The following is a 26,072-nucleotide window of genomic DNA, read 5'->3' on the forward strand; positions in this document are numbered from 1 at the left end:
GGGAAGCTTTGCCCTCTTGGGCAGAGTATGTTTTTCCAATCTAGTAACTGTCTGTTTTTGGTGGTGATTTCTGTGGCTGTAATTAATATGATCAGTGTTGCCAAAGCAAGGATAAGGGGTATTGACTCACTTTTTATTGCCCTGAGCCATCCCTGTTGCAAAATAATGATCTGGATATAATCTCCAGACCAGGAAGCAAGCTGCAGATGGGAAACTCCCTTATGACACTTCTGAAGATCCCAAACAGTTTCTTTTTTTAATGTAATTTGATTTTTTATTTATTTAGTTTTGAGATGGAGTCTCGCTCTGTTGCCCAGGCTGGAGTGCAGTGGCACGATCTCGGCTCACTGCAAGCTCCACCTCCTGGGTTCATGCCATTCTCCTGCCTCAGCCTCCCGAGTAGCTGGGACTACAGGTGCCTGCCACCATGCCCGGCTGTTTTTTTTTTGTATTTTTAGTAGAGACAGGGTTTCACTGTGTTAGCCAGGATGGTGTTGATCTCCTGACCTTGTGATCCGCCCGTCTCGGTCTCCCAAAGTGCTGGGATTACAGGTGTGAGCCACCGCGCCCGGCCCCCAAACCGGTTTCTAACAAATAAGTGTTAAGTCAAGGGGTTCCTCTACAGAATCAGTCATCTTCACCATGACACCCACAACGCCCAAATTGCTGCTGGCATTCCTCCACTCTGAATGCACAATTAGAAGCTCAGCACTCTATTGGATAAGGCTGCTATTTCACCATTTGAAGAACCTTCAAAAAGGTCTTTAGAGACAGGGCATGGTGGCTCACACCTGTAATCCCAGCACTTTGGAAGGCCAAGGCAGGCATATCACTTGAGGCCAGGAGTATGAGACCAGCCTGGCCAACATGGTGAAACCCTGTCTGTACTAAAAATGCAAAAATTAGCCGGGTGTGGTGATGTACACCTGTAGTCCCAGCTACTCAGTGGCCGAGGCACAAGAATTGCTCGAACCTGAGAGGTGGAGGTTGCAGTAAGCTGAGATCGTGCCAGTGACACTACATTCCAACCTAGGTGACACAGCGAGACTCCCTCTAAAAAAAAAATTCCTTAGAAACTTCAGAAGGATCCTTCCACTAGGGCAGAAGGGATGAGAGAGTAAGAATCTTCACCCCTACCACTCATGCCTTTCTGAAGGCTCAGTCTGGCCACACTGCAAGGGCACAGTGAGCCAGTTTTGGCCTGGGGCTTCTTGCTGCTGCCAAATTAACAACTCCAGCCCTTGGGTTTAGCCACCTGCTGCTGCTAAAAATGTTGCTGAGAGTGATGGAGAGGTGTTTTAGTTCCCATTTTACAGATCAGAAAATCAAGGCCCAGAGAAACTAAGTAGTCTTGGAGATAGGAGCCATGGCCTCTCCACTTGAGTTATCATCTTGAAACATCAAGGACAAGCCAACTTTATCAACAGTTTTAGGCCTGTGAGAAATGGGCTTGGTTTATCTTGAAGATTGTAAACAAATAAAAAAATAGACTGCTCCATTACTGATGAGAAATATGAGTCATTCTGCCAGGAATTGAAAGTACAGCTGCCCATAAAAAAGCTATGCCGGGGTCCAGCCTCTCCAGGTCCTTGTGTGTGAAAAACCACTCAGTCAAAGTTCCCCTTTTATTTCTCTTTGTGCTCAGTAGGATGCTGAAATTTCTGGAAAAGACAATGGAAATCAGGGGCAGGAAGAGAACAGTGTGGGGTGCTAAACAGATCTCAGCAACCTCCCTGCCCACGGCCATCTCTGCGCAGACACCTCGACCCCCCATGCGCAGGTGGAGCAGCGTTTCCTAGTTCTTTCCAGAGGCTTCCTTCTGCCTGCCTTCCAGCCACATCGCCTGAGATTGACAACGCCCTACAGCAAGACGGAAACCTCCCTTTACAGCACCACCTTGCGATTCTGCAGCCACAAAGTTGAGACTTCTGAACGTGGCACTCTTCTGTTCCCTTACTGTTTCACGTGTACCTGTGTCATCTTTCTTGTTTCATCGTAAACATACTTCTAAAATTCCCATTTTCTTTATTTAGAAATAGAACTACAAGCGGATGGTTAAACAATTTAAACAAATGGTCCATGGGGAAAAGTGAATTTCACACTGTCCCCCAAACTTTCAGTGCCTTTTATGGAGATAATTATTGTTTCTAATGTTTTGAATATTCTTTCAGAGATATTTTATTCTTATATAAGCATATGTGTATTTGTGTCCTTCCCTCATTTTCCCCCCACAAACACTAGCAGACTGTTTTGCACCTTGGTTAGCTCATTTAACATATCTTGGAGCCAGGTGCGGTGGCTCATGCCTGTAATCCCAGCACTTTGGGAGGCCGAGGTGGGCGGATCACCTGAGGTCGGGAGTTCGAGACCAGCCTGACCAACGTGGAGAAACCCCGTCTCTACTAAAAATACAAAATTAGCCAGGCGTGGTGGCACATGCCTGTAATCTCAGCTACTAGGGAGGCTGAGGCAGGAGAATCGCTTGAACCTGGGAGGCGGAGGTTGCGGTGAGCCGAGATCGTGCCATTGCACTCCAGCCTGGGCAACAGAACATATAGATCTGCTTGATCCTTTTCATGACTGCTACAGCTCCATTGAATGTATGGATCATCAGTGCTCCAGCTAGCACCTTAGTGATGGGCATTTAGGGATCACAAACTTCATAAGGGCAGAAACAATATCTTACCCATCCTCTGTTTCTGATATGGTTTGGATGTGTGTCCCTGCCCAAATCACACGTCAAGGTAATCCCCCATGTCAGAGGTGGGGCCTGGTGGAGGTGATTGGATCATGGGGATGGATCCTTCATGAATGGGTTAGCACCATCCCTTTGGTGCTGTTCTTGTGATAGAGCTCTCATGAGATCTGGTTGTTTAAATGTGTGTGGCACCTCCCCACTCTCTTGGTCAAGTTCCTGCCATGTAAGATGCTTGCCCTTGCTTTGCCTTCTGCCATGAATAAAAGCTCTCTGAGGCTTCCCCAGAAGCAGATGCCACTATGCTTCCTGTACAGCCTGTGGAACTGTGAGCCAATTAAGCCTCTTTTCCTTATGAATTATCCAGTCTTAGGTATTTCTTTGTAACAGTGTGAGGATGAGCTAATACAGTTTCCTACACTGTAACCTAAGGCAATGCTTTGCACAAAGGGATGAACCAGATTGCTTAGTAATTAAAACACAAATACAAACCACAAGCATATCCATTCATGAATTGGGGGACAGCTTTTATTTGATTCTGAGTTCTGATACCTGCTGCTTTGCTTTGTTAAAAATGTGCTAGTTCTCATTCAGCTTCCTATCAGTCATATCACCAACCAACATGTATAACATGTACAATCTGCCAGGTCAGGAGGAAACTTATGGATACAAGAAATGTCCCTCCCTTCTAGGAAATGATAATCTGCTTTGGGAGAGAAGGCAGGTACTTTTTGGCAAAAGTGACATAATAAAATAATCAAAAAAAGATGGATCTTTTTTTCTTTTTTGAGATGGAGTCACGCTCTGTCACCCAGGCTGGAGTGCAGTGGCGCGATCTCGGCTCACTGCAACATCCGCCTCCCAGGTTCAAGCGATTCTCCTGTCTCAGGCTCCCGAGTAGCTGGGACTACAGGCACCCACCACCACGCCCGGCTAATATTTTGTATTTTTAGTAGAGACGGGGTTTCACTGTGTTAGCCAGGATGGTCTCGATCTCCTGACCTTGTGATCCGCCTGCTTCGGCCTCCCAAAGTGCTGGGATTACAAACATGAGCCACTGCACCAGGCGAAAAGATGGATTTTTTAAAAAAGGTGTTAGGATAATCAGGTCCCCACCTGCAAGAAAGTAAAGTTAGAAGCCCACCTCAGACCATGCATACCAGCACAAAAATGTCAAATGGCTTAAAGATAAAATGTTAAAACAAGTCTAGAAAGGTATTAAAAGAAAATATAGAAAATACAGCACCAGCAAAAATTTCCCTACACAAGATGTAAAAGCCAGAAGTCATAAAGGAAAAGGTTGATAAATTAGAATAGATAAAAATGTAAAACTTTTGTATAATATAAGACACAAAGAATGAATTTAAAGACATACAATGAAGGTTAGGAAGATGAAGATGTTTTGGCGATGAGTGGTGGTTACACATCAGTATTAATGTACTTAATGTTACTGAACTGTACACTTAAAATGATGAAAATGGTAATTTTTATGTTATGTGTATTTCATCACATAAAAAAAGACATGAAATGAATCGGGGAAAATATTTGCTACATAACTAAGAATGAAGGCCCTTAATAAAATCTGTAAAACTATACACACTTTTAGGAATGAATCAACAAATAATTTCTATGAATTAGAAAAAAGTGACAATCCAACTAAAAAATGAATAAGGGATATAAGCAATGTGTTTCACAGAAAAAATAAAAATTGACAATGAAGTTATGAAAAAATGTTCAGTCTCCTTAGTAATTGCACAAAACAAACTAAAACAATGAGACATTACCCCTAAGATTAGTAAATGTTAAAGAAAAATAATAATTGGTGAGGGTGTGGGGAAGTGGGCACTTACACCTATGTTTGGAAATATAAATTGGTGCAACCTTATAGGGAGAGCAATCTCACAACATTTTCCAAAGACTTACATGCACAACCCTATGGCAGAGAAATTTATTCCTCTTCCAGGATTTTTTTTCCTTCAAAAACAGTGATGTGGATGAAAAACACATGTTCACTACTGCACAGGGTATAACAGCTGAAAACTGGAAACGATAATACTCACATTCCCTTCAGTAGGGGAATGGTTAAATAAATTTTACAAGCCATCTGGTAGATACCAGGCATGAGCTAAAAGTTAGGGTCCAGTTAGAGATGGAAAGCACACCAGTAATTTGAAAGGGAAAATGTAATATGAAGAATTATTAACTAGTAAAAGAAGGCTAACTGCTAAAGGTACAAGAGCACTCAAGCTGTCTGCAGTCAGCAGGCCCCGGCTGGTGAGCAGGAAGCTGCCCGCTGGGAGGCTGCCAAAGTTCCCTGAAGGTGAGCACCACTGGTTCTACAAGCTGCTGGCAGTCATGGCGTTAAGAGCAGGAAGAGAAGCACCAGAACCCGGAAGAGAAATCCAGTCCTCTGCTAGGCCTTGCACCGTCCCTCTGGCGCCCTCTACTGACAAAGCCAGTAAAATTGTGCCGCTAGCAAAGGAGATCTTTTTATGGGATGTAGCTTGGTGTCACCAAAGAGAACAGAGTGGACTTGGAGCTCAGATGCAACACAATGATTGATACTGGCACAGTATACTTACCCTGCTTTTGTAAACAAAATGGTATATGTGATGTCTCTCTTTGTCTCTCTGTATATAAAACAATATTTGTTTCTACTTATTATGTATTTATGTCTTTACTCTGCATGCCAGGAGCTAAGTATTTTGCATGTATTAACTCATTTTGTTCTCATAATAACCTTCACATGCAGGAATCATTATAGCTACTTTATGAATGAGCCGAGGAAGGCACTGAGACGTTAAGTAACTTGCCCAAGGTCACGCAGCTAGTAAGTGGCAGAGCAAGAATTACTATGGCTTTATAAGCCTAGGAAAAAGTCTGAAAGAATCAAAATGTTAACAGCGGGGACCTCAAGGAAGCATTGAAGAGGCCATGGGAGAAGTTTTCACTTTGTTAAAAAATCAGTCCTTCAAATAAATAAATACAGTGAGGCTTCCCCAGAAGCAGATGTCACTATGCTTCCTGTACAGCCTGTGGAACTGTGAGCCAGTTAAACCTCTTTTCTTTATAAATTATCCAGTCTTAGGTATTTCTTTATAACAGTGCTAGGATGAGCTGATACAGTTTCCTACACTGTAACCTAAGGCAATGCTTTGCACAAAGGGATGAGCCAGATTGCTTAGTAATTAAAACGCAAATACAAACCACAAGCATATCCATTCATGAATTGGGGGGCTGCTTTGTGTGCATAGATAAGGTATATTTTTTAAAAAAATTATTTTTCCAAGAAGAAAATAAACCAGTTAATAAACGACAACTCACAGTGCCAGGAAGTGAGAAACAAGTGTGTGATAAACGGTGGAGAATGGGAGCACTCTCCGCAGTGGGCGGGAGGAGACGAGGAGGGCGTTCCCTGGGGAGTGGCAGTGGTTGGAGCAAAGGTTTGGAGGAGGTAAGTCATGTGCTCTGAGTTTTTGGTTTCTGTTTCACCTTGTGTCTGAGCTGGTCTGAAGGCTGGTTGTTCAGACTGAGCTTCCTGCCTGCCTGTACCCCGCCAACAGCTTCAGAAGAAGGTGACTGGTGGCTGCCTGAGGAATACCAGTGGGCAAGAGAATTAGCATTTCTGGAGCATCTGCTGTCTGTGAGATTAAGCACTATGTATATTGCTTTATTCACTCCCCACAGCAACCTTACCAAGCAGTTCTTTTCCACGTGAAAAGATGGAGGCTGGGTGGAGCAAAAGGAGGTATTTAGAGTCCTCAGCAAGTGAGAGGCAGAGCTGGGATTTGAATCCAGATCTGCCTGATACTGAAGTCTAGGCTGGTTCCACCTCTCCGGACTGCTTTCCAGGGAGTAGAAGACAGATATTTTACCTTAGCTGGCTGCTTCTAGAAGTCTGACCCTGCTGGCTCAAAACGACTTTAGTTCCTTGCCCAGAGGCTGCGGGCTGCGGGTCAAGACATCAGTAGAAGGAGGGCCCAGCCAGAGAGGCTGACATGGGCTTCTACTCACCGTCATCTCTCCTTCCTTCCAGGAGCAGCCCCTGGGTGCGTCCACTTTCTGGGCACGTGAGGTTGGGCCTTGGCCGCCTGAGCCCTTGAGTTGGTCACTTGAACCTTGGGAATATTGAGGTAAGCCTGGGATTTCCAGAGGAGGTTTGGGGGAAAGAGAAGTGGTGAACGCTATTACTGTTCCCTATCTAGACACCAGTGGGCCGAGTGGAGCAGATGCCAGTTGGGACCTTCCCGCCCTCTCTTTGGTTATTAATCCATTATTGTTCCCTGTACACTGGTATGAGTGGATGGGGGAAGTATTTAGCCAAGTTTTTGAGACCTGTACTCGGAGCTAAAATGCATTGTCTTCCTATAGTGCGGGACCCCACAACTGTGGAGGAGCCGCAGGGGATACTGGGTAGTACGCAGACATTATGCACTAAATGACAATGGCTCACATAGTGAAAAGTTATTCTTTTTTATTTTTTTTTTTGAGAGGGAGTCTTGCTCTGTCGCCTAGCCTGGAGTGCAGTGGCGCGATCTCAGCTCACTGATATCTCCGCCTCCCGGGTTCAGGTGATTCTCGTGTCTCAGCCTCCTGAGTAGCTGGGATTACAGGCACCTGCTTCCATGCCTGGCTAATTTTTTTTTTTGTATTTTTAGTAGAGATGGGGGGGTCTCACCATGTTGGCCAGGCTGGTCTCAAACTTCTGGCCCCAAGTGATCTACCCACCTTGGCCTCCCAAAGTGCTGGGATTACAGGCCTGAGCCACTGCACCCGGCTGATTTCACATTTTTAGATAATATGACCACATTATAAAAATTTATGTATTTTTATATAATGTGACCACTAGATGAAAGCAATATACTTAGGCTTTTATTTCTTGGTTAAGTTCCTACTTATTATGAATTTACTCTGCATGCCAGGAATTCTAAGAATTTGCATGTATTAACTCATTTGATTCTCGTAATAACCTTCACATGCAGGAGTCACTATTACAGTGACTGTATGAATGAGGAAAGAAAGGCACTAACAGAATTGATTTTATGTTACTTAGGTCAAGATTTTATGTTATTTAGGTCAAGGTTAATTGTGTTGTTCAAATCTTGTATAACTCTACTGCTTGTCTGTCTTTCTTACCCATTATCGAGAAGGGAACATAAAAATCTTACACTATGACTGTAGATTGTCAATTTCTCATTTTAAATTAGGATCATTTTTCCTTTATGTCTGCCTTATGTGATATTAGTATAATGATATCAGTTGGTACATCTTTTTCCATCCTTATACTTTCAGTGTTTCGGTGTTCTTATACTTGAAATGTGTCTGCCGTAAGTGGTGTATTGTTCAAGTTTTTCTTTTATTATAGAAAAATGTATTCTGGAAGGTACTTTTCTTAAAATTACAGTATTTAGTCCATTTTCATTTAATGTAATTGTCAATATAATTGGGCTAAAATCTACTATATTTCCAGTTGTTTTTTATTCGTGGCATCAATTCACTTTTCTCTACTTTCTTGATTTCTTTTAGACGAATTAAGTAATTTTAGAAAGTTCACCTTACTCCTTTATTAGCTTGTTAATTATGCATGCTTTTAGTATTCTCTTAGTAATTGCACTTGAGTTGTACTACCTAATAGTACAGCCACATGTTGTTTAAAACAGCTTTACTGAGATATGATTGATATACAACAAATGGCATATAAAGTATATAATTTGATAAGTTTTGACATATGTATGACATATATGACAGTCATATAGACACACTCATATATATATTCATGTGCCATTTCAGTCAATGACCGACCACATATATGATGGTGGTCTCATAAGATTATAATACGGTATTTTTACTGTACCATTTCTATGTTTAGATATATTTAGATATGCAAATACTTACCATTGTGTTACAATTGCCTACAATATTCAATACAGTAACATGCTTTGTAGGTCTGCATCTTAGGAGTAATAGTCTAGACCATATAGCCTAGGTGTGTAGTAGGCTATACCATCTAGGTTTTGCATAAGTACATTCTATGATGTTGGCATAATGACGAAATCACTGACGATGCTTTTCTTGGAACTTATGCCTGTCATTAAGTGACGTATGACTGTATATATTTGAGTGGAACTATCACTGCAGTCAGGATAGTGAACATATATATTACCTCCAAAATATTTCGTATGCCCTCTTGAATCCTGTCCTCCTGCCCCTCCCCACCCCTGCTCCTTTTAGGCATTTAGTTCTGTAAATTTTCTCCTAGCCTTGCTTTAGCGGCATCCCATGCATTTTGATATTTTGTTTTGATTTTAATTTAATTCAATACTACATAATTTCCTTTTGATTTCTTTTTTGACCCATGGATTATTTAGAGTTGTGTTATTTCATTTCCAAATATTTGGGGATTTTCCAGACATGTTTCTGTTGTCCAGGCCAATAACAAATTCCTGACGCCATGAAGTCAAAGATCTAACTCCCCAGGGGGAGAGTTATGCCCAAGAACCATCGGTATTTTGTGTTAGTGGTCATTGCCAGAGTGAATTCCACAGTGTTTGTGATAAACCCTAATAATTCCACCAGAGGGCAGCAAGCCAACATGAAAATTCTATTAAAAAGTCTTTTTTTAGAGACAAGAGTTTGGCTCTGCCGCCCAGGCTGGAGTGCAGTGGTGTGACCTCGGCTTACCGAACCCTGGCCCCACCGCAGACTCAACCTCCCAGGCTCAAGTGATTCTCCCACTTCAGCTCCCCATCTGCGAGTAGCTGGAATATAGGTGCGCACCACCGCACCTAGTTAATTTTTGCATTTTTTGTAGAGATGGAGTTTCATCATGTTTCCCAGGCTTGTCTTGAACTCCTGGGCTCAAGCTATCCATCTGCCTCGGCTGCCCAAAGTGCCGAGATGACAGGCGTGGGCCACTGTGCCTGGCCAGACAGAAGTTTTCAAGTAAAGAATAAATTTAGCTGAAGAGCAGTGTCAAATTATTTCTATCCCCACCCTCCTGAATTAAATCTTCGTAGTCTCTGATTCTCTTTGTCATATTCTTAACCATTTGGATTCTTTTCAGTGCGTCTGTGTTTGTTCCTTTTCCCCAGTATGACCCCTTTCTATTTTTTTTTTTTTTTTTTTTTTTGAGACAGAGTCTTGCTGTGTCGCCCAGGCTGGAGTGCAGTGGCACGTTCTTGGCTCACTGCAACCTCCGCCTCCCAGGTTCAAAAGATTCTCCCACCTCAGCCTCCTGAGTAGCTGGGATTACAGATGCCTGCCACCTTGCCCAGATAATTTTTGTATTTTTAGTAGAGATGGGGTTTCAACATGTTAGCCAGGCTGGTCTCAAACTTTTGACCTCAAGTGATCTGCCCGCCTCGGCTTCCCAAAGTGCTGGGATTACAGGCGTGAGCCACCTTGTCCAGACCCTTTTCTCTATCTTTATGAAAACATCTCTCCAGTAGATCTTCAGAGTAAAAAAAAAAAAAAAAAAAGGAAAAAAGAAAAGAAAAAAGAAAAAGAAAAGAAAACATCCAGCAAGGTCTCGGAGGAAAAATAGAAAATTAGAAGACTGGAGTGAGTCATGTTGATTTTCTGGTGTAAAATTTGTATCGAAACCTTACATAAATACTGAAGAATTCACAAGTTGTAAATATACAGCTTGGTGACTGATTTTGATATCCAGACAGTTTTTTTCCCACTTGCACACACTCCCCGCAAGAATGCATGCTGGTTTGTAAAGTCATTAATTTACTGGTGCATCAGTGGATGGCTCTGTGTCTTCTGGCTTTATCTTGGCCCAGAAAGACAGGAATTAACGTTGAGCCTAGTAGTCTTTGGCCTTTGTGCCAAAGCAGTCTGTGGGCCAGCCTTGTGTAGTGATCAAGCAGTATGTTTAGATGTCAGGCATGACACGGGTTAAAAAGCCAGCTAGGGGAAAAATGGGAAGTGGCATTTTGCGATCTCATCAAACAATCTTGATATAAACTTAGAGAACAACCTCTTGGCAAATGGAGAGCAGCTGTAGGTTTCTGACTGAATGTGCAAGAAGAACGTGAATGAAAGAGATATACTAGGTGGGAGCAGTCAGGGTAGACTTCCTGGAGGAAGTGGACAGTGTTGTGTGGATTCACACTTTGGAGATATCAAAGAGGAAGAGTATTCCAAGTGGGGGTAACAAATAACAAGGGAGGCAAAAAAGAAAAGTATGAGGGAACAACAGGATGTTGTCAGGAAACTAAGGCTGAGCTGAAATCCAGGTGACCCAGAGAAGCCTTGAGAAGGCTTGTGGCATCTTGTGGAGCAAGTGGGGAACTTGCTCTGTTTGAGAGAATATGCCTGGAATATATGGGATATCATTTAAATTTTCTAAAGGTTATCTACAAGATAATTTCAGAGAATATTCGCTCCCACCTCAGCGTAGGAAACAATGAAACCCTGAAACATTTATTTATTTATTTTCCTTGCTTTTCTTTTTTCTTTCTTTTTTTTTTCTTGAGATGGAGTCTTACTCTGTCACTCAGGCTGGAGTGCAGTGGCGTAATCTTGGCTCACTGCAACCTCCGCCTCCTGGGTTCAAGCAATTCTCCTGCCTCAGCCTCCCGAGTAGCTGGGACAATAGGCATGTGCCGCTATGCCTGGCTAATTTTTTGTATTTTTAGTAGAGACGGGGTTTCATCATGTTGGCCAGACTGGTCTTGAACTCCTGGCCTCAAGTAATCTGCCCGCTTTGGGCTTCAAAAGTGCTAGGATTACAGGTGTGAGCCACTGCACCCAGTCTTTTCCTTACTTTTTATTTTATTTATTTATTTATTTATTTTTTAATTGATCATTCTTGGGTGTTTCTCACAGAGGAGGATTTGGCAGGGTCACAGGACAATAGTGGAGGGAAGGTCAGCAGATAAACAAGTGAACAAAGGTCTCTGGTTTTCCTAGGCAGAGGACCCTGCGGCCTTCCGCAGTGTTTGTGTCCCTGGGTACTTGAGATTAGGGAGTGGTGATGACTCTTAAGGAGCATGCTGCCTTCAAGCATCTGTTTAACAAAGCACATCTTGCACCGCCCTTAATCCATTCAACCCTGAGTGGATACAGCACATGTTTCAGAGAGCACAGGGTTGGGGGTAAGGTCACAGATCTACAGGATCCCAAGGCAGAAGAATTTTTCTTAGTATAGAACAAAATGAAAAGTCTCCCATGTCTACCTCTCTCTACACAGACACGGCAACCATCCAATTTCTCAATCTTTTCCCCACCTTTCCCCCCTTTCTGTTCCACAAAACCGCCATTGTCATCATGGCCCGTTCTCAATGAGCTGCTGGGTACACCTCCCAGACGGGGTGGTGGCCGGGCAGAGGGGCTCCTCACCTCCCAGTAGGGGCGGCCGGGCAGAGGCGCCCCTCATCTCCCAGACGGGGCGGCTGGCCGGGCGGGGGGCTGACCCCCCACCTCCCTCCCGGACGGGGCGGCTTCCTTACTTTTTAAAAATACGTTTGTCTTCAACTATTGGATATCTTCATCTAATTTCTAGTGTTTTTTTTGGTTGTTGTTGGCTTATTTGATTTTTACTTTTTGGTTAATAACAAACCTTTTAAGGAGTTACATAGACTCTTATCAGTTTACTTTTCTAATTTGTTTTCTCCTGAATTCTCAGTTACCTTGGATTGATTGTGCTTTGGGTTCATCTTGCTTTTTCTTAGTGGCTACTTTCAGTTTCCTTCCTCTTCAGTTTGGCAATTTTTTCCCTTTTCAAGCAAGGAGCTCCTCCCTGTTGAGGCGTCACGGGTGGCGGGCAATCCTTACCCGGATCCTCCCACAGCTTGCTCTCTGGAAGCTCACACTGCACCGTAATTATGAAACTTTTGATATTGTCCCTGATGGCTTCTGATGCAAGCTGGGACAGCATTTGTCTGTTGATAAGTGAAACCAAGTTCCTGAGATCTGGCTCTCTTTTGCCCTTCTATCCAATACCAGCAAGGCCCTAGTTTCAGAGCATTTTGGGGACTTATGATCCCTTCTAGTTACCTCTGCATCTGTGCCCCTTTTCCCCTCAAATTAGTTCATAGAGATTTTTGAAGCACCCATGTTACTCAAATAGGCCCATTTTTAGCATGTGGGAGGTAAGGCCTAGATGTGAATCCCTCATAAGCCAGGCAGATCAAACTGTGTGTATGCATGCAGATTTGGCCCAGGAACACTCTTCTCCTTCAGGGCCCATTGTCTACAAGGACAGAAAAGAATTCTTAAGGCCATTCACTATCTCACATTTTCTGTTATTTTTCTGTCTTTTCCTTTTCCCCCTACCCACAGAGAAACATTAGAATCATTGCCCTTTAGAAGAGCAGAACTATGATGCCTCCTGTCAGGGATGGAACGAGGCATTCCATGCAGATGACAACCCAAAGAGAGCAAGAGTGGCTCTATTTATATCAGACAAAATCGACTTTAAGTCAAAAACTGTCACAAGAGACATTAAAGTATATTATATAATGAAAAAAGCATCAATCCACCATGAAGATATAACAATTATAAATATATGCACTCAATATCAGAGCACCTAAATATATGAAACAAACAATGACAGAACTGAAGGGAGAAATAGCCAGCCATACAAAAATAGTAGGAGACTTCAACACTGTACTTTAAATAATGGATAGAACATTCAGACAGAAGATTAATAAGGAAACAGGGGACTTAAACAACATTATAGACCAAATGGACCGAACAGAAATACACAGAACGTTCCACCCTACAGCAGTAGAACACACATTATCCTCAAATGCACATGGAACTTTCTCCAAGGTAGATCACAAGTTGGGTCACAAAACAAGTCTTTGCAAATTTAAGAGACTGAAATCATACCATGTATCTTTTCTGACCATGATGGAATGAAACTAAAAATCAATGGCAGAAGGAAAAATAGAAAGTTCACAAATATGTGGAAATTAAACAACACACTCTTGAACAACAATTAGGCCATAAAAATAAAAAAAGAAATTAGGAAATATCTTGAGATAAATGAAAAGAAAAGCACAACATACCCAAACTTACAGGATAAAAGCAGTACTAAGCAAAGAAGTACTAAGAGGTACTTTATTGCAATACACATCTGCAGTGAAAAAGAAGAAAGATCTCAAGTAAATAGTCTAACTTCGTGCCTCAAGGAGAGGAGAAGAAGATGAAGAAGAAGAGGAACTAAGCCTAAAATTAGTGAAGGAAATAACAAAGATTAGAGTAGGAACCAAGAAAATACAGAATAGAAAAGCAATAGAAAAAAAATCAACAAATTTTTTGAAAAGAATAACAAAAGAATTGGTTTTTTGAAAAGATAAACAAAATCAACAAATCCCTAGTTAGGCTAAGTAAGAAAGAGAGAAGACTCAAATAAACAATATCAGAAATAAAAGAGGAGACATTACAACTGATGCCACAGAAATAAAAACATGAGGCTATAATGAACAATTCTATTCCAACAAACTGGATAATCTAGAAGAAATGAATAAATTCACAAAACCTTCCAATCTACGATGACTGAATCATGAAGAAATACAAAGTCTGAACAGACTTATAACTAATGTGGAGGTTTAGTCAATAATCAAAAATGTTCCCCAAACGAAGAAGTCCAGGACCAGATGGCTTCACAGGTGAATTCTTCCAAACATCTCAAGAAGAATTAATGCCAGTTCTTCTTAAACTATTTTTAAAAATTGAAGAAGAGGGCACACTTCCAAATTTATTTTATGTGGCCAACATTATCCCGATACCAAAGCCAAACAAAGACACCACAAGAAATGAAAACTGCAGGTCAATATCTCTGATGAATATACATATAAAAACTCATAACAAAATACTAGCAAATCAAATTCAACAGTACATTTAAATGATCGTACATCCTGACTGAGTGGCATTTATCCCTAGGATACAAGTATGGATCAACATACAAAAATAAATCAGTGCGAAATGGCCTATTAACAGGGCAAAGATATAAAGATAACATGATCATCTCAATAGATGCAGAGAAAGCATTTGACAAAATTCAATACCCTTTCGTGATTAAACAATTTTTCAACAAACTGGAAATAGAGTCTCAACATCATCAAGACCATATATAAGAAAATTTTCACTGTTGAGTATTATATTAGATGTGAGCTTTTCATATATGGGATTCATAATATGTTTCAAATATATTACAAAGCTATAGTAATTGAAACAGCATGGGAATAGCATAAAGACAAACACATAGGCCATCAGAAGAGAAGAGAGAGCTCAGAAATAAATCCATGCATATACAGTGCCTTAGTCCATTCAGCCTGCTAAAACAAAATACCATAGACTGGTGGCTTATAAAACACAGAAATTTATTTTTCACAGTTCTGGAGGCTAGGAAATTCAAGATCAAGTAGCTAGCAGATTTGCTATCTAGTGAGGGCCTGCTTCTTGGTTCATAAATGGCCATCTTCTCCATGTGTCCTCATGGAATTAGGGTGATGGAGCGCTCTGGGATTTCTTTTATAAGGCACTAGTCCCATTCATAAGTGCTCTACCTTCATGACCTAATCACCTCCCAAAGGTCCCATCTCCAAATACCAACACATAGGGGATTAGGTTTCAACATATGAATTTTAGGGGAAACAAACATCAGTCTATTGCATATACTACCTAAAGCAATCTACAAATTTGGTGTGATCTCTATTAACATCCCAATGGATTTTTTTTTTACAGAAAAAAACCTCTGAAGTATAAAAAGGACCACAAATAGCTAAATCAGTTTTGAGGAAGAACAAAGCTAGAAGCACCATACTTCCTGATTTCTAAATATATTATACTCCCATGGTCATAGCAGCACTATTTACAGTAGCCAAGATGTGCAAACAACCTAAATATCTAGGATGGGGAAAGAAAATGTGGTAGTCACATAAAATGGAATATTATTTGCCTTATAAAGGAGGGAAATTCTATAATATAAGACAACATGGATGAATCTTGAAGACATTATGCTAAGTGAAATAAGCCAGTCACCAAAAGACAAATACTGTATGATTCTACTTACATGTGGTATCTAAAGTAGTCAAATTTATAGAATCAAAGAGTGGAATGGTGGTTGCCAGGGGCTGGGGAGGGGGGAAATGAGTTGCCTGTCAACAAGCATAAAGTTTTAGTTAAGCAAGATGAGTAAGTTCTAGAGATCTGCTGTACAACATTGTACCTATAGTCAACAATACTGTATTGTACACTTAAACATTTGCTAAGAGGGTAGATCTCACTTAAATGTTCTTACTACAATAAAATATAATTGATAAAGCAATAGAAAAGGATTCCTATACATAGGATTCCTATACATAAAAAGGTCAATACCTAATTTCCATTTAATTAAAAGCAATGAATAGTCAATTTACACACAAGACAATTTCTGTTATTGAGGCAGCTATAGGATATAGAAGAGATTTCCCAACTCACTTTGCAAGGTGCACATAGCCTTGAATCCACAAGCATAATGTAAATAATTTACTTTTAAGAAACTCAGACAGAAAAATCCTATAATCATCTCAAAAGATCCTGACATTTCTTTTTGATAATTTAATGCCCCTTTCTGATTTTTGTCAAATACTAGGAAGCTAATAGGTAAGGAAAAGTCCCTAACTTGATAAAAATACCTACCAGATGCCCAAATCAAAAATCATATGAATTAGGAAGTTCTGGAGTGCTTCTCATTAAACTCAGGAACGTGTAATATCGTTATTAATGTATTGTTCCACCCTGTTTTGGAGGGCCTGGCCAATTTAACAAGTTAGGTGATTTGATAAGTTAGTTTAATACGCATAACAGCATGGCTGTCCCGAGGCATACAGGAGGCGATGGGCTGAGTCCTGACTGCAGCTCCCCCAAGGACCTGCCACGCATGGATTATACACAAAGTCTGTTCAAGTCTGTTGAGGGAGTGAAGGGTCGGGGGGCAGCAATCCCCTGTTTGGCCTGCCAGGTAAAGCCTTTGTAATTGCTAATGGCTGGGCCTGACAGATTACACATAGGATTTTGGCCTGGAGCCCAAATAATTCCTAAACTCCATCCTTTGATTTTTCAGAGCCCAAGCGAGAAACATAGGCTACCCCATCATGGACCTGAATGGGTTGGATTTTGAGGGTCTCTGTTAGGAGCCAGGTTATTAGTCTGCAGTTACAATAAATAGACCATGGTCAGGATCAAGATCACTTCCAGCATCGTGTACAGATTAATATGCCTGGGGTAGCTTAGGTACCAGAAAAATCCATGTTTACAGAAATGTTTGTTTGCAGCATTCAGTGGCACAGGAACAAAATATTTATTTGTGGGGATACATCCAGCATTTTGTCAAATTCACTGGGGAACTGCCTGGGACAGGCATATCAATGAATTTAGTGACTTGGAAGTCACACAGTCTATTCTGTAGGAGAGAGAGAAGGAAGGTTAGATTCCCACTTCTCCCTCCTCTGTACCCTGGCTCATGGGTTCATAGGCGCTCACGTTGGGGGAATTTTCCCCAACCACTGTGACATGGGTAAGGGTAGCATCTTCCGACTATCCTCCAGGGAGGTGGGCTGTAATCTGGCCTGGATCCTCTGATGACTAAAAAAAAAAGTTTCTCTTCTGTACATTGATATCCATCCCTTGAAAATAACCAGGCAAAGCAACAAAGCCACTTTATGGAAAACATTGAATTAGAAGCCTCAAGTTGATAGTGATTATTTTTTGCAGGCAAAAAAATCCATGCTCAGCACCAAAGGGATAACTGATGAAGAGGGTTACTGTCTCTCATGCTTTGTTTTTTAATAGCTAATCTAATCTCTCACCTATCTGAGTCTTTAGAAAGGAATTGAAGGGGGTGGGGGGCCCTTGTAGGGTTCCCCAGAGAGACTGAGGCTGTGCAATAAAAGGAAGCAGGTAGACAGTCTGATCAAATATGCAGCGCAAATGATGACTGCCCCTTTGAGGAATGCCACACTGGGACCCCAGACTGTTCCCCTGAGATGCATAGTCCAGGCCGAGGTTCTTTTATTCCCTCCTGTCAGTCACTTAACCCTGTCCTTCAATTGTCTACTAAAACACTCAATCATCCCTGCTGCTTGGAGGCGATAGAGAGCATAGGGCGTCCATCATATATGCCCCATGCTTGGGCCCATTGATGTGTGGCTTGGGCCACAAATCTGGGGCCATTATCAGATGCATTCTATGCCTGGGAATCAACCATCTAAGATCTGAAATTGTGTCACCGATTGATTGACCTGACCTCACAAGGAGGTTTTTTATTTGTTTTTGTTTTTTTTTTTGAGACAGAGTCTCACTCTGTCACCCAGGTTGGAGTGCAGTGGCTCAATCTCACTGCTACTTCCATCTCCCAGGTTCAAGTGATTCTTATGCCTCAGCCTCCCGAGTAGCTGGAATTACAGACACGCACCACCATGCCTGGCTAATTTTTGTATTTTTAGTACAGACAGGGTTTCACCATGTTGGCTAGCCTGGTCTCGAACTCCTAACTTCAAGTGATCCGCCCACCTCGGCCTCCCAAAGTGTTGGGATTACAGGCGTGAGCCACTGTCCCCAGCCACTGGACTTGATAACCATCCGGAGTATCATGAACAAAGCTAGAAATCTGAGTCTGGTTGCAACCTCATCATCTGCTGCTTCCACTTCCTTATCATAGACCCAGGGGACCACCAGTGTAGCCTGCCACGGCTCCAGGTTTGGAGTGAGGCGTAGGTTCCAGGCAGCTCCTGTTGACCCTGCTGCTGCAGGCCAGGTCAGCTGTCCTTGCCCAGGTGTGAATCATGGGCATGTATCTCCCTGCTGGGCTTCCGCTTTGCTGCCCTTTCCTGGCCCTTTGGCCAGAGAGAGCAGGCTTTTCTTTCTGTTGCTTTTCCTTGTTTGTTCTTTTTTTTTTTTTTTTTTTTGAGACGGAGTTTCGCTCTTGTTGCCCAGACTGGAGTGCAATGGTGCAATCTCGGCTCACCGCAACCTCTACCTCCCAGGTTCAAGCAATTCTCCTGCCTCAGCCTCCCAAGTAGCTGGGATTACAGGCATGTGCCACCATGCCCGGCTAATTTTGTATTTTTAGTAGAGACGGGGTTTCTCCATGTTGAGGCTGGTCTCGAACTCCCAACCTCAGGTGATCTGCCTGCCTTGGCCTCCCAAAGTGCTGGGATTACAGGCGTGAGCCACTGGGCCCAGCCATTTGTTCTTTCTAATTTAGGCCTGTTGGTGGTTCTGGATTGCAGGCCTCTTTCGTTTTCAGTCTGGCATGTGTGGGAATAAAAAGACAGCCCAGGGCACAAAACAGGGTGTTGTTCCTGCCTCTGGGTCCCCCGCCAGTCTGCCTCTACTTTCCACCTCTCAGGGTTGTGTGATTGTCTGTTGATTTATTCCCAGGGTATTTAGGTGTCCTTAGAGGGGAGAAGCAGGGAAAAGTGAATCTATGCCATCGTGTCTCGGAACTGGAAGTCCACCCCCATCCCCACACACACTAGAATTGCAGAAGAAAAATAAGATGAGAACTTGAGTGAAAAAAACATATTATTATGCAATCATCAAATGTTTGGACAGAAAGTGTTCTTAGACAACCTCTAGTCTAATTTCTCACATTTGGAAATCTGGAAGTTGGACTAAGACCTGAATCGACCACCCTCACCCCCAGTTCAGCTGACTGACTCCCCAGCCTGTATTCTCACCATTCCACACCAGGATCTGTCCTGAGGCTTTGAAAAAATGTGAACTGCATGTCCTGCTCAGATCCCAACCCTCCCACACCACTTTGCTAAGAGTCTGTTCTGTCTGCAAAAATCCCAAAAGTTGTGTCAACTGGAACGCAAAATGTTCTTCATTTGACTTTCATTGTTTTTTGGAATTTTGGGGGGCCAGGGAGGAGCAAGAAAGGAGCTGCAATTGCCCTTGGGTAAGATTTGCTTAGAATTTTAGGAAGAAGTTGTCTGGGCACAGTGGCTTACTCCTGTAATCCCAGCACTTTGGGAGGCCGAGGTGGGTGGATCACGAGATCAGGAGTTCAAGACCAGCCTGGCCAAGATGGTGAAACCCTGTCTCTACTAAAAATACAAAAACTAGCTGGGTGCAGTGGCAGGCGCCTGTATTCTGCTAGGGAGCTGAGGCAGGAGAATTGCTTGAGCTGGCGGGGTGGAGGTTGCAGTGAACCAAGATCACACCACTGCACTCCAGGCTGGGCGGCAGAGTGAGACTGTCTGTCTCAAAAAAAAAAAAAAAAAAAAAAAAAGAAGAATTTTAGGAAGAAATCTATCTGATTCTAGAATTATCTAGGCTGTTGAGGATGTGTGTCTGGTGGCCACTGGGACATCAGGGTGAGACTTTTCTTTTAACTGCATGTATGTGAATTAGGTTGCTTCTGGAGCCTACTGAGAGCTCACTGGGTCCCCATAGCATCCATGCTGAAGGCGCCTTCCTTCTGTCTGTGACCTTGACCCTCAGCTCCACATTTCCCCAGGGGCTGCAGGATTTCTCAGAATCCTCATTAGCACAACCTATTTTTTTTTTTTTTTTTCCTGAAACAGAGCCTCACTCTGTTGCCCAATGCAGTGGTGTGATCTCGGCTCACTGCAACCTCTGCCTCCCAGGTTCAAGTGATTCTCATGCCTCAGCCTCCCAAGTAGCTGGGACTACAAGCGTGTGCCACCATTCCTGGCTAATTCTTGTATTTTTTTTTGAGATGGAGTCTCGCTCTGTTGCCCAGGCTGGAGTGCAGTGGTGCGATCTCGGCTCACTGCAACCTCCACCTCCCGGGTTCAAGGGATTCTCCTGCCTCAGCCTCCCGAGTAGCTGGGACTACAGGTGCCCGCCACCACACCTGGCTAATTTTTTGTATTTTTAGTGGAGACAGCGTTTCACTGTTTTAGCCAGGATAGTCTCGATCTCCTGACCTCGTGATCCGCCCGCCTTGGCCTCCCAAAGTGCTGGGATTACAGGCGTGAGCCACTGCGCCCGGCCAACTTTTGTATTTTTAGTAGAGATGGGGGTCTCACTATGTTTGTCAGGCTGGTCTTGGACTCCTGGCCTCAAGTGATCCACCTGCCTCAGCCTCCCAAATTGGTAGGATTACAGGTGTGAGTCACTGTGCCTGGACAGCACCACCTATTAGTGAATGACAGCCTTGACTTTTGAGGCTAAAACTTTCCACTTCTTTAGTATAGTAATTAAATCTCTCGCTTTTTCTACTATTTCGGTAATTAAGCAGGTAAAGAAAAATATCCAGAACAATATAATAGGGAGTAGGGCAAGAAAATCCTGAGGAACCACGACCTGTGGGTGGATCGAGTGCAGGGGTCCTTGAGTGTAGCTGGTTGCAGGAAGGCCCCAGCAGAAGGGGGCTTTGATGAGCATCCACCTTGTGTACCGAGTGAATGTCCGTCCAGATGAGGTGCGGATGCAGCTGACAATGGAGGCGACTGTAATGGACTATCCCAAGTAGCAACATCATCAATTTAGGTTTTCAGCCTGAGTGAGACTTTCAGTTAATACTCAACTGAAAACAAGATGCAAATTTTCCTTCAGAAATTTGTTGAAAGTGTTTTCACTTTGGTACTATTGATCTATTAAAGGGCTGAGATGCAGAGGAGACACCATTGTGTAATTTCTAGTGGCCGCTCTTTTTGTCCGTTATCTGTTCACTGTTCTATCCATGCTGTTCTGCCACACCCCTTTTTCACTTACCAACACATGTTGGAGATTGCTCTCTATCATAGCATTTCCTCTCCTATTCTCTAGCCTGCCTCTTCACTCTCTTAATGGTATCATTTTTCTGAAAAGAAGCTCTTAATTCTAAAATGGTCCTGTTGGTGGTTTTTTCCCCTTATGGTCAGCACTTTTTGTGTCCTTTTTGAGTTTTTGTCTACTCCAATATCATAAAGACATTCTCTTAGGATTTCTCATAAAGTTTTACTGCTTCCTTCTTTTTTGAGAGAGTCTTACTCTGTTGCCCAGGCTGGAGTGCAGTGCTGCGATCTTGGCTCACTACAACCTCTGCCTCCTGGGTTCAAGCAATTCTCATGACTCAGCCTCCTGAGTAGCTGGGACTACAGGTGCCCCCCACCATGCCCAGCCAATTTTTGTATTTTTAGTAGAGGTGGGGGTCTTGCCATGTTGGTCAGGCTAGTCTTCAACTCCTGACCTCAGGTGATCCACCTGCCTTGGCCTCCCAAAGTGCTGGGATTATAGGTGTGAGCCACCACGCCCTGGTCAATTGCTTCCTTTTTATATTTAGATTGACTATCCATCTGGATTTGAATTTTGTGTGGGTAGGAAATCAAGGCTCATTTTATTTTTATATGGCTATCTTGTTGATCTGTCGTTATTTACTATAAAGACGATCCTTTTTTCACTTCACCTCATTGTCACCTTTACCCATGTATCAAGTGAGAATAGAGTGTGAGACTTTAAAAAATTAATGGATTATTTTTTAAGAACAGTTTCAGGTTTAGAGAAAAAACAGAGCAGATTAGCTGGGCATGGTGGTATGCACCTGTAGTCCCAGCTTATTCATATGCTTATTTGCCATCTGCGTATCTTTTTGTGAGGTGTCTGTTCAGACCTCTTGCCCACTTTTCAATCGGGTTGTTTTCTTATTGTTGAGTCTTAACAGATTAGCTTAATCAGATTGGCTTCGGGAGGCTAAGGCGAGAGGATCGCTTGAGCGCGGGAGGCGGAGGTTGCAGTGAGTTGAGATCACACCACTGCACTCTAGCCTAGGTGACAGAGAGAGACCCTGTCTCAGAAAGAAAAAAAAAGAAAGAGCAGAAAGTAGAGAGTTCCCATATACCCTCTGCCTCCTACACTTCTCCCCTCCCCACACTTTCCCGTTATTAACATCTTGCATTAGTGTGGTACATTTGTTACAAGTGATGAACCAATATTGATATTGTAGGGGAGGGCAAATCTGTTTTCCTTCTACCCTTCTAAGTTCATGGCTGAGAACCCTATAACAGAAGACAGATTAATAAGAGAAAAGTGCATAAACATATTTAAGTTTTATGTGACATGGAAGCCTTTATAAGGAAATGAAGACTCCAAGAAGCAGTTACAGTTTGATGTAGGTTTGATAAAGGGTGGACAGTTGTGGAGGATATGATAGAGCAAAGAGTTTGAAGTAAGTGTAGTCCGCTGGCAGAAGCTTATCAAGGCCCGTTTGTTTAGTTAGATTCCTCTCTGTGTCCCTTTGTCTTCACAGATACCACCAGGTATAGGGAGGGCATCTCTCACCTGAGGGTCTTATGACCTGGCTTCAGGAGAAGGTCAGAAAACCCTTCCTGCACATGCTGCTTTTGCAAATTCCTTCACCTTAAAATATTCAATATGTCATTGTGTTAGTCTGTTCTTGCATTGCTCTAAAGAGATACCTGAGGTTGGGCAATCTATAAAGAAAAGAGTTTTAATTGGCTCATGGTTCCACAGACTGTATAGGAAGCATGATGCTGGCATCTGCTTGGCTTCTGGGGAGGCCTCAGGAAACTTACAATTATGGTGGAAGACAAAGGGGGAGCGAGACATCTCATGTGGCTAGAGCAGGGGAAGCAAGAGAGCGGGGAGGTGCCACATATTTTTAAACAACCAGAATATCATGAGAATTCTATCATGCAAACAGCACTGTGGGGATGGTGCTAAACTATTAGAAACCACCCCCAAGATCCAATCACCTCCCACCAGGCTCCGCCTCCAACATTAGGAATTACAACTGGACATGAGTTTGGGTGAGGACACAAATCCAAACCATGTCAGTCGTGGTGCCATATTTTGTGGTAGCACGTCCTGAATCCCATCAATAAATTATTCTGAACTAAAGTTCCATAGTTTCCATTAGGGTTCACTTTTGGTGTACATCCTACCGGTTTTGCCAAATGAATAATGCCATGTAGAACCGTTACAATATTGTACAGAATAATTTCACTCCCCTAAAAATCCCCTGTGCTGAACCTATTCACACTTCCTCCCCTGAGTCCCTGGCAACCACTGTCTCTATAGTTTTAATCAGAATGTCACATAGTTGGAATCATACAGTATGTAGCCTCTCCAGATTGCCTTCTTTCACATAGTAACATTCAATTAAGGCTCTTCCATGCCTTTGCGTGGTTTGATAGCTCATTTCTTTTTATTGCTGAATAATAATCTATGGTATGGATGTGCCACAGTTTATCCATTCATTTATTGAGGGACATCTTGGTTGCTTCCAACTTTTGGCAGTTATGAATTATGAATAAAGCTGGTATAAACATTCATGTGCAGGTTTTTGCATGGACATAAATGTTCAATTTGGGTAAATATCTAGAAACGTGATTGCTGGATCTTGCGGTAAGCATATGCTTTGGCCAGGCGCGGTGGCTCATGACTGTGATCCCAGCACTTTGGGAGGCTGAGGTGGGATCACCTGAGATCAGCAGTTTAAGACCAGTCTGGCTAACACAGTGAAACCTCATCTCTACTAAAAAAAATACAAAAATTAGCTGGGCGTGGTGGCGTGTGCCTGTAATCCCAGCTACTCAGGAAGCTGAGGCAGGAGAATCGCTTGAACCTGGGAGGTGGAGGTTGCATTGAGCCAAGATGGCGCCACTGCACTCCAGCCTGGGCAATAGAGTGAGACTCTGTGTCAAAAAAAAAAAAAAAGAAAAAAAAATGGCCAGGCGCAGTGGCTCACACCTGTAATCTCAGCACTTTGGGAGGCGGAGGCAGGTGTATTATTTGAAGTCAGGAGTTTAACACCAGCCCGACCAACATGGTGAAACCCTGTCTCTACTAAAAATACAAAAATTAGCTGGGCGTGGTGGTCATGCCGGTAATCCCAGCAACTTGGGAGGCTGAGGCAGGAGAATCGCTTGAACCCAGAGGCAGAGGCTGTAGTGAGCCAAGATCACACTTGCCGTTGCACTCCAGCCTGGGAGACAGAGTGAGACTCCGTCTAAAAAAAAAAAAAGCTTCATGACAAACTTCCAGACTTTCTTCCAAAGTGTCCGTATGAGTTTTCATTCCCACGAGTAATGAATGAGAGTTCCTGTTACTTCACATCCTTGCCAATGTTTGGTGGTGTCAGTGTTTCGGATTTTAGCAATTTTGGCAAATATGTAGTGGTATCTCACTGTTGTTTTAATTTGCAATTCCCTAATGACATATGATGTTGAACATCTTTTCATATGCTTATTTGCCATCTGTATATGTTTTTGGTGAGGTATCTGTTCAGATCTCTTGCCCACTTTTCAATTGGGTTGTTTGTTTTGTTATTGTTGAGTGTCAAGAGTTCTTTGTATATTTTTGGATAACAGCATGGTTTTTGTTTTTGTTTTTGTTTTTTTTTGAGACAGAGTCTCGCTCTGTCACCAGGCTGTAGTACAGTGGCATGAACTTGGCTCACTGCAACCTCTACCTCCCAAGTTCAAGCAATTCTCCTGCCTCAGCCTCCCGAGTAGCTGGGACTACAGGTGTGTGCCACCATGCCCAGCTAATTTTTGTATTTTTAGTAGAGACGGGCTTTCACCATGTTGGCCAGGATGGTCTGGATCACTTGACCTCGTGATCCACCAGTATGGTTGAGTTTTAAGAGTTCTTTGTACGCTTTTGGGTAACGGTCTTTTGTTTTGCAAACATTTTCTCCCAATCTGTGGTTTGTCTCTTCACTCTTAACTGTATCTTTTGAAGGGGGATCTCAAAGAACATCTGGTCCCCCACAACAACATGTCATGTCAGGTGAGAGATGACTCATTTTCTCAGAAACTAGGATTTTGTGTCATATGTTGTAAACCACGAAAAGTTAATTTTATAACCCACCTTCTAGATCTACTGAGAATACGTGGTGTTATCACTAACAGTTTTGAGGAAAGAAATAATTGCCTAATTCATTTTGTAGTGAATGTGTTTTGTTACTACCACAGATACTCTTAAAATCCACTTATTATGGAGGGGGAAAAAAAAGGAATTTTCTTTACAGAAAGTGAGGAGTGAAACCTAATGGAGAAAATATCTGTTTCAGGGAATAACCCTCCCAACATCTGATTTTTTTTTGTTTTAGACAGGGGCTCGCTCCGTCCCCCAGGCTGGAGTGCAGTGATGCAATCATAGCTCACTGCAGCCTTGAACTCCTGGGTTTAAGCAATCCTCCTGCCTCAGCCTCCTGAGTAGCTGGGACCACAGGTGTGCACCACCACTGCACCACCACACCCGACTAATTTTTTTGATTTTTGGTAAAGACAGTATGTTGCCCAGGCTGATCTTAAACTCCTGAGCTCAAGTGATCCTCCCACTTCAGCCTCTCAAAGTGCTAGGATTATAAATGTGAGCCACTGCACCTAGCCTGATCTTTTTTTTTTTTTTTTTTTTTTTTTTTTTTAAGAAACAGTCACTAGTGCTGTATGTAGGTTAC

At 42.7% G+C, this 26,072-nt stretch overlaps 2 protein-coding genes across 23 annotated transcripts in view, besides 3 other annotated features; both read left to right on the forward strand.

The window, feature by feature from the left end:
• The window catches only part of CASP10 (caspase 10), a 46,266-nt gene extending 44,144 nt beyond the window's left edge, over window positions 1-2,122 (forward strand). For both annotated transcript variants that reach the window (NM_032974.5, NM_001206542.2), the window contains one exon: window positions 1,649-2,122. In NM_032974.5, the coding sequence (NP_116756.2) occupies window positions 1,649-1,799 (151 nt within the window). In that variant the 3' untranslated portion in view covers window positions 1,800-2,122. The remainder of the gene's footprint in view (window positions 1-1,648) is intronic.
• Window positions 4,901-5,150: an enhancer, noted in NCBI's record as "active region_16983". NCBI's record gives its function as "activates an Ori minimal core promoter by ATAC-STARR-seq in GM12878 lymphoblastoid cells {active_cell/tissue: GM12878}" and the evidence as "EXISTENCE:reporter gene assay evidence [ECO:0000049][PMID:35858748]".
• Window positions 6,179-26,072, forward strand: part of CASP8 (caspase 8) — a 54,249-nt gene continuing 34,355 nt past the window's right edge. For 10 of the 21 annotated variants that reach the window (NR_174598.1, NR_174588.1, NM_001228.5 and 7 more), the window contains exons 1-2: window positions 6,179-6,338; window positions 6,732-6,828. The gene's annotated coding sequence lies outside the window, so the exon portion shown is untranslated. Of the gene's footprint in view, window positions 6,339-6,731; window positions 6,829-12,985; window positions 15,981-26,072 lie in introns of those variants that run through there. The other 11 variants (NR_174583.1, NR_174590.1, NR_174581.1 and 8 more) reach the window with 2 other exon arrangements.
• Window positions 7,248-7,367: an enhancer, noted in NCBI's record as "active region_16984". NCBI's record gives its function as "activates an Ori minimal core promoter by ATAC-STARR-seq in GM12878 lymphoblastoid cells {active_cell/tissue: GM12878}" and the evidence as "EXISTENCE:reporter gene assay evidence [ECO:0000049][PMID:35858748]".
• Window positions 21,069-21,128: an enhancer, noted in NCBI's record as "active region_16985". NCBI's record gives its function as "activates an Ori minimal core promoter by ATAC-STARR-seq in GM12878 lymphoblastoid cells {active_cell/tissue: GM12878}" and the evidence as "EXISTENCE:reporter gene assay evidence [ECO:0000049][PMID:35858748]".

Source organism: Homo sapiens, chromosome 2, assembly GCF_000001405.40.
Source record: "Homo sapiens chromosome 2, GRCh38.p14 Primary Assembly".
Taxonomy (NCBI): domain Eukaryota; kingdom Metazoa; phylum Chordata; class Mammalia; order Primates; family Hominidae; genus Homo; species Homo sapiens.